The 13,790-nt window shown below is 41.0% G+C and overlaps 1 protein-coding gene across 11 annotated transcripts in view; it reads left to right on the top strand.

Annotated features, from left to right (window-relative positions):
- TTC28 (tetratricopeptide repeat domain 28) overlaps positions 1-13,790 on the top strand; it is a 701,827-nt gene that overhangs the window by 578,700 nt on the left and 109,337 nt on the right. For all 11 annotated transcript variants that reach the window (NM_001393403.1, NM_001145418.2, XM_047441214.1 and 8 more), the window contains 3 exons: positions 2,097-2,226; positions 4,733-4,951; positions 6,896-7,061. In NM_001393403.1, coding sequence (NP_001380332.1) covers positions 2,097-2,226; positions 4,733-4,951; positions 6,896-7,061 — 515 coding nt within the window. The remainder of the gene's footprint in view (positions 1-2,096; positions 2,227-4,732; positions 4,952-6,895; positions 7,062-13,790) is intronic.

The raw sequence follows: 13,790 nt of genomic DNA, 5'->3' as shown, positions 1-13,790 counted from the left end.
TTTGTTTCCAGAAGCATGGGAGACTTTAGGATTACTGTCCTAGTAGTGATGGCATTTACAAGAGGCACTGACTTCTACCCTTGGGCTAATGTGTATGATTTCCCGCCTGTACTAGCCCAGAAGTATTTGAACAATTAGTAAAGATTTTTGCTCACTCATGTGATAGATTTCTCAATTTCTTAAGAATTTTTATATTAACTGCTATTGCTCCCCATTAAACATTGATATGAAATTATATTCATCTCATGACAAGTAAAACAAAAATTCATAATTAAATTTCATGTTTCTAGATATATTAATAGATATAACTTCTCTCTCTCCCTCTTTTACAATAAGGCCATATTTCTGCATATATGCAAGTAGTTGAAGGAAAGTCCCTTGTCATGCTGGCCCTGGAGAGTAGAAAGATCCCTCGAGTTATAGGCCTCCTCTGTTAGGTTGGAGTAGTAGTGAGATGGCTGCATCTAAGATCACGCACTCATCCAGATAGCGAGCATGTGAGTGGTGACTGCAGAGGACATTGTGCTAGACAGAGGGGAGCAAGGATAAGGACATCCAGACTCCTATCCAGAGGTGCTCACAAGAGTTGAAGAGATGTGACTGAATTTGCACCATAGCGTTCTAGAATGTTAGGGTGTTTTACTGTACTTTTAAAATGATTAAAGACAATGTAAAGGATTAATTCTCTAATTTCCTGGTTATAAAAAGTAAAACCTGTGTTGATATTGTGATTTGCAATTTTCAAAGTACTTATTATAGCTCAGTGAATTTGATCCTTAAAATAACCCTGTGAGGTAGAAACTATCCTCTTTATAGAGAGGAAGAAATTGAGTCTCTGAATCTTGCCAAAAGTCACACAGCCAATTAGTGGCAGAGTTAGGAACACATTCTCTTAGCGCTCTCCGGGTCTATGTCTCTTAGTCTTAGAATTCTGTACTTGATCTTAGCCAAAAGGCCGAGAAGCAAGTAGTCTTAGAATTCTGAAGTTTGGATAAATTTAAAATTTGATACTGAGTTTCCAGCATGTAAATATCAGAGTCATCTTAGACAGTGTGGCATGAGGGGGAAAAAAAAGGAAAATATCAGAGTCAGAAAAGTCTGATGGCCTCACTGATGGAGGAGCCTGTTAGAGCATCAGGACAATGTCTCCGTTAGGAATGGCAATTGTCTGGTCCTCAGAATGTCTATGTGAGTGGGCATGGCTCCTTGAGGAGCTTGCCCAGTGATGATCTGAGCCTGGGACACTGAACCATCTGCAAAGAGCTATCGCCCTTCAGAGAGTGTGGCGCTCTCTTCCCCTCAGGCTCGTCCATTTCCGGGATGCCTTCACCATACCTGTTCTCACTCCCATCCTTACTCACCATGAGGCACGAGGGTGGTGAATTGTGGTTGCCTGATGACAAGAGGAGAGGCTTTTTGTTTTAATAAAAATCAGCACTTGGTGGATTAATATCTGTTTTAATATCTTTAAGACCGTAAGTCTCTAATTCCTGTCTTTTAGATCCCTTTGTCTGTCAAAAATCGATTATATAAACTGTAATTTACTGGGCATGATCTGATGCCTTTTTAGGTCCACAAGGACCTACCTGGTGTCAGGTTCTAACTGAGGTCCGAGGGAAGTCAGTGGGCGAGTGGCAGGTAGCTGGAAAAACACTCGAGGAAGCGTAGACAGTTTCACCATGGCTTTACTCACTCTGGGCGCTAGTGAGACCAGGCACGAGCTGTGGGCACAAGCCATATATACGGCGTTAGCAGGGTAATTATACCTTTTAAAGACAATAGTGGCTCTGAGCTAAGGACGAGCTCACATGGGTGATCACCTAATGCGCCTCACATGGTGTCGTTACATGATGAGTGGAGTTGTGAGCCTGTGCTCCAAACTCACTGAGTCATGCTGGACTGGATGTCTGCCTCGGCCTATTCTTGACCGCAGCACATCCATTTTTCCTTACACCTGGACATCAGACTCTTCCTTTCAAATCTGTAAAAAATATTTAGGTTGTGCACAAAGATATGAGCAAAAGTTGTCTCTAGTCTGTAAACAGCTGGACATTGGTTTCTGGGGAATGGATGATGTTCTTCCTCCCTCCTTGCAGCTTTATAGGGCATCAGCCTTGTTTGAAACAATCCGACATGAGGCACAGCTGAGCACGGACTACAAACTCTCCCTCTTTGACCTGCAGACATCATCCTACCAGGCCTTGCAGCGGGTGCTCGTCAGCCTAGGTGAGAACAGCTGGGGTTACTCCTTGCTTACGTGTGCACTAGTGCGCACGGGTGCGCGTCCATGTGTCCAAGTTGTTTAGTGACAGCGGTGAAGAAATATGATTTGTTGTGACAACAGACTGTGAAGCCACAACTACAACCAGTCAATGAACATTCATTCATTTATTCAACAAAGATTAGTAGAGCTCCTACCATGTGCTGAGTGCCTGCCCTGGGGGTTACAGTCAAGAAGTCCTGGTTCCTGACCCCAAGAAGCTTAGCTTGTGGAGAGACATAAGTCAGTGAGTCCAGTACAGTGCTGATTGGCACTAGGATAAACTCAGATGCTGTGGAAATAAAGTCTCTTAAAAAAAAAAAAAAGTTTAAATAGAGATGAGGTCTCACTATGTTGCCCAGCCTGGTCTCGAACTCCTGGGCTCAGGCAATGCTCCTGCCTTGGCCTCCCAAAGGGCTGGGATCACAGGTGAGAACCATGACACCCAGCCTGAAACAAAGTCTCTTGTCTGGTGGGTCCGGGAGCCAGAGAAAGTGTCCTTGAGACAGGGATGCTTGAACCAGGTTCCCTCCCTAGGTTCCCTCTCACCACTAGCGTGTGGTTCAAGCATCTGACTAAGAGGAAGTACCTGAGAAGACACCTGGCCTCTTGTCTATTTCCTCATCCACACATCTTTCAAGGTTGCTGTCTAATAAATGTTTCTGCCACCTGGGTCTGCCTCCTAGGCTGTGGCATAGTCAGTGATGATTCTCCCAAGCCTATGTGCCCCATCACAGTGGGGCAGCATGCATCTTCTTTCACCCGGGCCTTAACTAGTCAGCCAGTCCCTTCCAGCTCTCCGTCATCTGCCTCTTCCCAGGAGATATTTATTGGAACTAACAAAGGCTTTGAATTTGGATGTTGAGGCCTTTTCGATAACCTGTCTTTTGCTGTATGTATAGGAAGGACTCAAATTTCCTCTTGAAAAATTTATCTATTAAATGTGTTCATTGCCTGGGATTACAGTTTATTATCTATTATAATCACAGTGTTAAGTCTGTCTAGCACCTAGGGGCCGATTTTCCCGTGTGCACAGAAATTGTTCCTGCTGTTCCAGTTAATAACTTAATAGAGTAAAAGGAGACATTTACATACACACATACAAATCTCCACTTGCTTCTGATACCCAAACTGCAGGAAGCAAGGCATCCTTGAAGTGCTGTCACAGCTGCAGCATCTGGTCTGCTTCTGTCTGCTTTCTTTGGACTCTGGTTATAGTAACTCTTCCATATTTACATTTATGACAAAAGTAAATCCGCTGCATTGTGTTCCTTCAGCACTTATAAACAATTCCTTTACATTTTTTGTGGTTTCAGATTGGTACATTAGCTTTTAAACTAGATTATAGACCAGTTCCTTAAGGAAAGTGGGATTCAAAATTCGATTAAAAGATGGGAAAAGCTTGAGATAGAGAAGCAATTTTAAAGAACTAGAGACCTTAGAGGTTAAACTCTTTTCCCATGGGGATAAGGAAAAAAGTGTGTTGGAGCCCAGAATGGAATGAGACATCAGCTCCAACAACATTACTACTACCTGTTATACATGTAGTGATGTAAGTAGGCCTGCCAGCCATCTTTACATGTAGTGCTTCATTTAATCTTTAAAATAGCCCTTTGCGATAGGCAGGACAACTGTTAGCATCCCTCTTCTTGAGACAAGGCCAGTGAAAGGGAAAAGGGCACGCCCAGGAGAGGGACTGGCATGCTTAAAGGGATGGAGGTATAATTTGGAGAGAAATGCATAAGGCTGGACAATGTTATGCATAGAGGGGCTGCATGGAGGGAGGAGAGAGAGTCAGAAGACGCATAGACAGCTTGTGAGGCTGAGGCGGGTGGATCACTTGAGGCCAGGAGTTTGAGACCAGCCTGGCCAACATGGCGAAACCCCGTCTCTACTAAAAATATGAAAATTAGCCAGGAATGGTGGCCCGTGCCTGTAATCCCAGCTACTTGGGAAGTTGAGGCAGGAGAATCGCTTGAACCCAGGGGGCGGAGATTGCAGTGAACTGAGATCATGCCACTATATTCCAGCCTGGGAGACAGAGTGAGACCCTGTCTCAAAAAAAAAAAAAGACACGTAGAGAGCCAAGTGACACCAATAAACCTGGTGTCAGAAGCCAGGCAGGAGGTTAGAAAAAAAAAAGCCAGGTTAGGGAGCAACTCAGGAGGTGGAGCAGAGATGGAGCAGGGCTAAGGACAAGTGCACTGAATTGGATCAGCTCTTTTGTGGCGCTGGCTGCAAGACAGGCGAAGGTCTGATGGCTTAGGGTAGTGTGGAATCAGTCATGCAGGACACTGCACCCACCATCTGAGGCAGGGAATTGAATCTGAAGCAGTGTGACTGAGATTCTGTCACATATTGGAGAGTAGAGGCAGTGAGGTTTCTGCCCAGGATTTGATGGCCGTCCCTGATAGGCCTCTCTAAGTAAGCACACTCACTATGGACTCCTCGGCATATCTCTTTGTCTCCTAGGCCATCATGATGAAGCCCTGGCTGTGGCAGAAAGGGGACGGACAAGGGCATTTGCTGATCTTCTGGTGGAACGACAAACAGGACAACAAGACTCCGACCCCTACTCCCCAGTCACTATTGATCAGATCTTAGAGATGGTAAATGGCCAGAGGGGACTAGTGCTTTACTATTCCCTGGCTGCAGGCTATCTGTATAGCTGGCTGCTGGCTCCTGGGGCAGGTAAGATCTCTTTCTGTGGGAACAGGGCAATTAGAAGACTAGACCTGTGAAAGTCTAATGAATAGAGGTGGAATAGGTGCATTATCATAGATCATACTAAGGAACTGATGTCAGATTTTAGCAAAACCTCAGCCGCAGTGGATATGCCGTGGTGGGGCATTCAGATAATAAGACAGCCCAGCTTTCTCATTTCCCCAAGAAATTGCTGCTCCTCACTGTTGAATGTGGAAGCATTTATCAAGGAAGACTAAAAGCAGAAGAATTAATTTCACTAGCAGCCCTGTGTGTAGGCAGCTGTTGTTCATTAGCTAATAAAGTGATGACTGCAAGTCCTAACGAATTCTTTCTAGACATGGTTTAATAATTGTGACCCTTTGTCATGGCAAAGTTAAAGAGACTAAAATGATAATGGCAGCTCTATCACAGGTTATAAATAAGTCTTATGCTTGAAATTTCTGAGTTTAACAGAACCCATTTTTAACCAGTTCTGCTGTAAATCTATTTCAGAAGTAAAAATCTCCTTTGATTAAATCAGCATTAAATGTTCAGGCTGTAACAGTTTCACTAAATACAGAAACACTAATTAGCTGTTAGGGCCATATTTTTTGCATAATAAAATGCTGATGGCTTTACCAAGTTGGAGACACACCAGATCCAATTAGAGTTTATTGACTGGGGAAGTGGATCTTATAATTGGTAATCTTAAAGAATGAGCTTCTTGAATATCTGTAAGCCAGTTTCAAAAACTTTAACTGCCAGCGAGAATTGACAAGATTTTCTTGATTATGTTTCTATGCCTTTGATTTAAAAAAAAAAAAAATGATGGCTGGATGACAGCTCCCAGATGCTTTTAGGCTCTGAGCATTTGTGCGTATACATTCTATGCCTCGGCATTGTTTTTAATAATTTTTTCCCTTTAGTTCCATGTTCTTTATGGGCTTTCCACAAAGAATGTTCTTACCGCTGACCTTTTTAATGCTAAAGGTTTTAAATTGTGATTTTTACAGTGACTTGGTTAATAAATGTTGGCTACAGTGGAATCTTTGTGGATCCCAGCTCCCAGAGTGGTACTGATACTCGTGAGGACACAGTTGATGACTGGGAGGTATCAAACTCCTTCTCTCTGTGGTTGTTACATCTTGGGGACATGATTTGACAGGTGGTATATCGGAATTCCTGTAATAATGAGCCATGTATAATGAGGCTTCTATTGTTTCTTTTTCCGTTCCTTTTTGCTCTTAATGAGGCTCTGAAGCTTTCACTGGGGGCGCTAATCCAATCAGAGAGGACCGGCGTTTTCCAGAGCTGACACACCTCATTACCATTTGAGAATATATCCTATTTATCGCCAGAAAACCACTGTGGACTGCCTCAATTTCATGCACCCATCATTTTTTGCTCCTTTAATTCATTAATGACCATTGACCAGTTAGTCTTATTTAAAAATGGTTTAAAATGTTTTTATCTGGCCTTTATACTACATATTTATTATAATTTGCTTTTGTGAAATGAAAGCTCTGTTGGAACACAATTTCCACTTGGTCAATTATATTTGTCTTTGGGATTTCAATTTCTATAAGGAATATATCCTGGCATACTCATGCACTATTCCTGAAAGGAGACTTTCCCTAGTTGGTGCTTCTAAGAAGCATCTGTTTTGAAACACATATGAAGTAGTCATAATTCCAGGAGCTTCTGAGGCTGTATCTTGAATTCCCTGGTTTCAAGCCCCACACCTAATGGTAAAAGCTGTGAAAAGGATACTGACCAAAATAGAGAAAGCCCTCTTGAGACCTTGGATTTCAGGATTTTTTGACAGGGTTTGCAGGATGGCATGCTTGTCAAAGAAGTCACATACCATTGGCATTCCTGTCCCCTGCCTTCAACTTCTCCTTTCTCTGACCCTAATTGTGTATAATGTTGGCTGTGCCTGTTTTGCTTCAGGAATTGTGAAGTTTCATGAACACTACCTGGGTGAGAACACAGTGGAAAACTCAAGTGACTTCCAGGCCAGCAGCAGTGTAACCCTTCCAACAGCAACCGGCTCAGCCCTGGAGCAGCACATTGCCAGTGTCCGGGAGGCCCTGGGGGTGGAGTCTCACTACTCAAGGTAGGTAGTAAAACATCCCCAAGTCCATTTTCAGATAAATCTCAGGGTATTATTTTTTGTAAACATCCTATTTGAGCTAACAGAAGAAATCTTTTGGAATTCATGTAGTTGCGCTCAGTCTGTTCACAGCTGCTGCAGCAGAAACAAATATGTGTCTCTGGAGTGTAAGCCCCTTAGTGGTCTGTCTTTATTCTTTTTGGTGATTTTCCATCAGATGGGGAAGGGCCTCATCAGACATGCCCATTCTGTAAGCAGGATTTGTAAACTGTTTAAACATAAACATGGCTTTGAATTTAACATACCAGCCAATTAAAACTGAGATTATTTTTTGTTATAAACAAATTATAATGAGTTTGTTTGTACTGTAGCTGAACGCCTATTTGAGAGAGTAATTTAGTACCAGTGACAGGATATGTGCACAGATCTGTGAGCCTGAGGGGTGAGGTGAAAGGAGCTGAACTCTCAAATATGAAGAATAGATAAGGGAACTGCTTTTTGCAAAGGTTGTAAAAGGTATAAGCTTATGGAAACATTTTATCATAATGATTGACTATTTTACATATGAAAAAAATAATTTCCACAAGCACCCTGCTTCTAGGGGAAATCAAAGGAAGAGGGTATCTTAGAGCTGGGTTGTAACCAGATTTCCCAGGCATCTCTGTTCTCCATCCAGTGATTACCAAGGGTTCGGAAGATCTGTGTGTCAGAGAATCTGCTATGTTAGCTTGTATCAGGTCCCAAGAATCTCTGCTCATCTCCTGAATGATTTCATTTGTAATCATGAAAATCCTTAGGTAATTCTGTGATTTATTTAGAGATGCTTCACCCAAATTCCCAAGCATGCGGTGGTTGCTGCCAGCAGCTGGACTGATCTTTGGGGTGCTTATTAAGTTGGGGAAGAAAGAGTTCTTAGGTGAAAAATGATTATTGAATAATTTAATGTCAATATTGGAAGGGGCTGTAGTAGTCATCTAGTCCAACCCCTTCATTTAACAGAAGTTAACACTGAAATAGGACTTGCTGACAGCCAAGTTAGTGTCAGAGCCAGGATCAAAACAGTCTACATCTCACCCAGACTTCCAGGCCAGTGCTTGTTCTGTTTTTAATTTTCAAAATTAATATCATATTTTGAGAAAGTAGCCAAATATAAGAATTTCATTTCTAGCTTCTGTTTTTATGAAGTAGGAACAGGCTTTAGCCACTTGCACACGTGCTTCTCTTATTTATCCTGTGACTGCTGTGCATCCTGAAGTATCCCCGTCCTTAACAACCCAGGCAACAGTTTGGCAATTACAGGGGTTGACAGGGTGGTAACTCCCAAGAACTTGGAAGTAACACTGCCCTCTGAGATTGAAATTATAAATGACCATAATAAACTAGGTTAGACATTAGACCAGAGGTATACAAAGCTGCTTCGGCAGACAGAAATTTAGGCCAGTGTGATTAGACTATAACCTGACCAAAGGTATTGCATGTCCAAAGTGAGAGTTAGAGGGGCATGGCTGGCCAGCAATAGAAACCCAAAAGTAGGAGAGCCAGCAGGGCAGACTTTGGCAGTGTTCATTTCTAACACTATGAAAGGGAGAGAGAATCTTGGTTTAGGGACACAAGGTCCCACTGAAAAGGCTGATCCCATGGTGGGCATGCAGTCGCCAAGTTCTCTTAGTCCCCCCACTGTCCCTCCTTCCACAGGTATTTTGAGTGCTCACTGTGTATAAGGTACTATGATAGAGATTAAGGATCCTGATGAACAAGGAGACATAGCCCCTACTGTCCCAGAACTGAGGGCAAGCTCTGAAGTATGGCCTTCTAAGTTTGAAAACCTGACTGATGTTGCTAACATGCCCAAAGAGGGTTTGCCTCTTGGAAGCGAACTTTCATTAACCAAGCTCAAAGAAAATTGTACAAACTAGAATGCCAGGTATTATGTACATTCTCTATCTTCAAGTATATTTACATGAGCAACCAAATGATAGTTAGAAAGGTTGACAAGAAGCATGGGACCTGAACAAGGGAAGGCAGGAGGACCATCTGAGAGATCTTCTCCACCAAGGGCTGCTGAAGACCTTTGTGCATACTGCCTGGGGTAGCCTTTGGCAGCTTAATTCTCCTCATCCTCTGAGCTCAGCTCAAATATTCTCTCCTTAAGGAAGCCTCTACAACTCCCAGCATAGGTTTCCCTACCCCTTATGCCCATTTATACATTCTCATTATACCCGACATTTTCATTTAAGCATTTACTACAATTTTAATTAGAAGATTTTATATACTCTGTTGTTTACTCTTTTTCAGTTCTGTGAGAGCAGGGGCTATGTCTGCCTTATTCATCAGGATCCGTAATCTCTAGCATAGCACCTTATAGAGTGAGCACTCAAATACTTGTGGGAGGAGGGACAGCAGGGATCTAAGAGAGCACGGTGACCCCATGTCCACCATGGGGTCAGCCTTGCCGATGGGACTTTGTGTCCCTAAGCCAAGACTCTCCCTCCTTTCGATAGTATTAGAAATGGGCACTGCCGGAGTCTGCCCTGCTACCTTTCCCTTTTTCATGTTTCTACTGCTGGCCACCAAGATTATAAAGGTACTTGGGTGTATGACACCTGCCATTTGAAATCTCTGCATATGTGAAGGTGGCCTCTCCCTTATGGCAATGTGGGGACCACATCCAAGTCATCTCAGTCTAAACCAAGCATTCATGGGGCTCAGCCTGTATGAAAATGTATATTTCACCTAATCCAAATTTCCAGATATCTAGATTAAAATTCACCAGGAGAAAGAAGAGGATTACCCTTGGTCTCACTCTTCCATGCTCCTCATTGGATGTCATGGTTGAACTTTAAATACATGTGGCTAAGCAGTTCTTTTCTATGATACTGGAGGTTGAGTAATTCTGTTTCCAGGTGCCTTTTGAATTGAAAAATGTCTTTTGAGTTATAGTTCATCTCTTCATCAAAGGTAGAGAGAGAGGAAAGACTGCAACTTGCTTGTGTTTCCCATGTTAACCATTTCCCCTCTGCTCTATACAGAGAGCTAATGAGTCCTTAGGATCTCTAGCAGGTTATGTGGCTTGACACTCAGCATCACTTTGTTGGGCTGCCCTCAGTAGCCTAGATCTTCCCCTTAGACTGCTAGAAATAAGGTTTTTCCTGTTGCTTTGGAGTAATCTTGTTAGAGATTTGTTTATATTTTGTGAGCTTAAACTCATATTGTTGATTATAATATTAAAATTAAACACTTTATTGGCATGGTTTGAATTTACTGGAATGGAGTGTTTGTGAGAGCGATTCGTGTCTCATAGTTTCATGAAAACAGTAAGAAAATTTCACTGAAGTATTATTTTTCATCTACAAATTTAGTAAATATTTTTTAAAACCATAATGCTCAGTGAGAGTAAGGATGCAGTGAATGAGCAGGCTCATATCGTAGGGATATACCTGGATTTTGCATTTCTAAAAACAATTTGCCAATAGTATAAAAAATCTTTTTACATGTTTATGCCCTTTGGTCTCAAAATTCTTTATTATAGAAATGGAGCAAAGATCTGTACATACTAGTATCTGTCCTAGGTTTATATATTATAGAAGACATTGAAAACAACCTAAATATACAACAATAATTGAATTACAAACAAATTATGTTATATCTATTCAGAATGTTATGTTGCAATTAAAATTATGTTTACAAAGAATTTTTAATCAAATAGCCAAATGTTTAATCACATAGACAAAATATTAAGTGAAAAAAATAGGATATAGAATTACTGTATATAGTATAATTTAAATTTTGTAATTATATAAAATATGGGTATGAAAAGAAAAATTCTCAGAAGGAGACTAGGCTATATTTTAGTGGTGATTATAAATGAATGGTGAAATTATAGATGCTTGTTATTTTATTCTTTTTACTTTTCCTTATTTTTAACTTTTTTTTTTTACAATTAGGCATATAGTACTTTTTTTATTATTATTATACTTTAACTTTTAGGATACATGTGCACAACGTGCAGGTTTGTTACATATGTATACATGTGCCATGTTGGTGTGCTGCACCCATTAACTCGTCATTTAGCATTAGGTATATCTCCTAATGCTATCCTTCTCCCCTCCCACCACCCCACAACAGTCCCCGGTGTGTGATGTTCCCCTTCCTGTGTCCATGTGTTCTCATTGTTCAATTCCCACCTGTGAGTGAGAACATGCGGTATGTGGTTTTTTGTCCTTGCGATACTTTGCTGAGAATGATAGTTTCCAGCTTCATCCATGTCCCTACAAAGGACAGGAACTCATCATTTTTTATGGCTGCATAGTATTCCATGGTGTATACATGCCACATTTTCTTTTTTTTTTTAAACATTTGAAAACCTTTATTTTTTTTATTTTTTTATTTTTTATTTTATTTTATTTTATTTTATTATTATTATACTTTAAGTTTTAGGGTATATGTGCACAACGTGCAGGTTAGTTACATATGTATACACGTGCCATGCTGGTGTGCTGCACCCAGTAACTCGTCATTAAGCATTAGGTATATCTCCTAATGCTATCCCTCCCCCATCCCCCCACCCCACAACAGTCCCCAGAGTGTGATGTTCCCCTTCCTGTGTCCATGTGTTCTCATTGTTCAATTCCCACCTATGAGTGAGAATATGCGGTGTTTGCTTTCTTGTTCTTGCGATAGTTTACTGAGAATGATGATTTCCAATTTCATCCATGTCCCTACAAAGGACATGAACTCATCATTTTTTATGGCTGCATAGTATTCCATGGTGTATATATGCCACATTTTCTTAATCCAGTCTATCATTGTTGGACATTTGGGTTGGTTCCAAGTCTTTGCTATTGTGAATAGTGCTGCAGTAAACATACGTGTGCATGTGTCTTTATAGCAGCATGATTTATAGTCCTTTGGGTATATACTCAGTAATGGGATGGCTGGGTCAAATGGTATTTCTAGTTCTAGATCCCTGAGGAATCGCCTCACTGACTTCCACAATGGTTGAACTAGTTTACAGTCCCAACAACAGTGTAAAAGTGTTCCTATTTCTCCACATCCTCTCCAGCACCTGTTGTTTCCTGACTTTTTAATGATTGCCATTCTAACTGGTGTGAGATGGTACCTCATTGTGGTTTTGATTTGCATTTCTCTGATGGCCAGTGATGGTGAGCATTTTTTCACGTGTGTTTTGGCTGCATAAATGTCTTCTTCTGAGAAGTGTCTGTTCATGTCCTTCGCCCACTTTTTGATGAGGTTGTTTGTTTTTTTCTTGTAAATTTGTTTGAGTTCCTTGTAGATTCTGGATATTAGCCCTTTGTCAGATGAGTAGGTTGCGAAGATGTTTTCCCATTTTGTAGGTTGGCTGTTCACTCTGATGGTAGTTTCCTTTGCTGTGCAGAAGCTCTTTAGTTTAATTAGATCCCATTTGTCAATTTTGGCGTTTGTTGCCATTGCTTTTGATGTTTTATACACGAAGTCCTTGCCCATGCCTATGTCCTGAATGGTATTGCCTAGGTTTTTTTCTAGGGTTTTTATGGTTTTAGGTCTAACGTTTAAGTCTTTAATCCATCTTGAATTAATTTTTGTATAAGGTGTAAGGAAGGGATCCAGTTTCAGCTTTCTACATATGGCTAGCCAGTTTTCTCAGCACCATTTATTAAATAGGGAATCCTTTCCCCATTGCTTGTTTTTGTCAAGTTTGTCAAAGATCAGATAGTTGTAGATATGCGGCGTTATTTCTGAGGGCTCTGTTCTGTTCCATTGATCTATATCTCTGTTTTGGTACCAGTACCATGCTGTTTTGGTTACTGTAGCCTTGTAGTATAGTTGGAAGTCAGGTAGCGTGATGCCTCCAGCTTTGCTCTTTTGGCTTAAGATTGACTTGGCAATGCGGGCTCTTTTTTGGTGCCATATGAACTTTAAAGTAGTTTTCTCCAATTCTGTGAAGAAAGTCATTGGTAGCTTGATGGGGATGGCATTGAATCTATAAATTACCTTGGGCAGTATGGCCATTTTCACAATAATGATTCTTCCTATCCATGAGCATGGAATGTTCTTCCATTTGTTTGTATCCTCTTTTATTTCATTGAGCAGTGGTTTCTAGTTCTCCTTGAAGAGGTCCTTCACATCCCTTGTAAGTTGGATTCCTAGGTATTTTATTCTCTTTGATGCAATTGTGAATGAGAGTTCACTCATGATTTGGCTCTCTGTTTGTCTGTTATTGGTGTATAAGAATGCTTGTGATTTTTGTACCTTGATTTTGTATCCTGAGACTTTGCTGAAGTTGCTTATCAGCTTAAGGAGATTTTGGGCTGAGACAGTGGGGTTTTCTAGATATACAATCATGTCATCTGCAAACAGGGACGATTTGACTTCCTCTTTTCCTAATTGAATACCATTTATTTCCTTCTCCTGCCTGATTGCCCTGGCCAGAACTTCCAGCACTGTGTTGAATAGGAGTGGTGAGAGAGGGCATCCCTGTCTTGTGCCAGTTTTCAAAGGGAATGCTTCCAGTTTTTGGCCATTCAGTATGATATTGGCTGTGGGTTTGTCATAAATAGCTCTTATTATTTTGAGATACGTCCCATCAATACCTAATTTATTGAGACTTTTTAGCATGAAGGGTTGTTGAATTTTGTCAAAGGCCTTTTCTGCATCTATTGAGATAATCATGTGGTTTTTGTCTTTGGTTCTGTTTATATACTGGATTACATTTATTGATTTGCATATATTGAA

The sequence above is a fragment of the Homo sapiens genome, chromosome 22 (assembly GCF_000001405.40).
Source record: "Homo sapiens chromosome 22, GRCh38.p14 Primary Assembly".
NCBI classification, from domain to species: Eukaryota; Metazoa; Chordata; class Mammalia; order Primates; family Hominidae; genus Homo; species Homo sapiens.
Note: the sequence above shows the minus strand (reverse complement) of the source record. Positions and strands in the feature narration are given on the sequence as shown.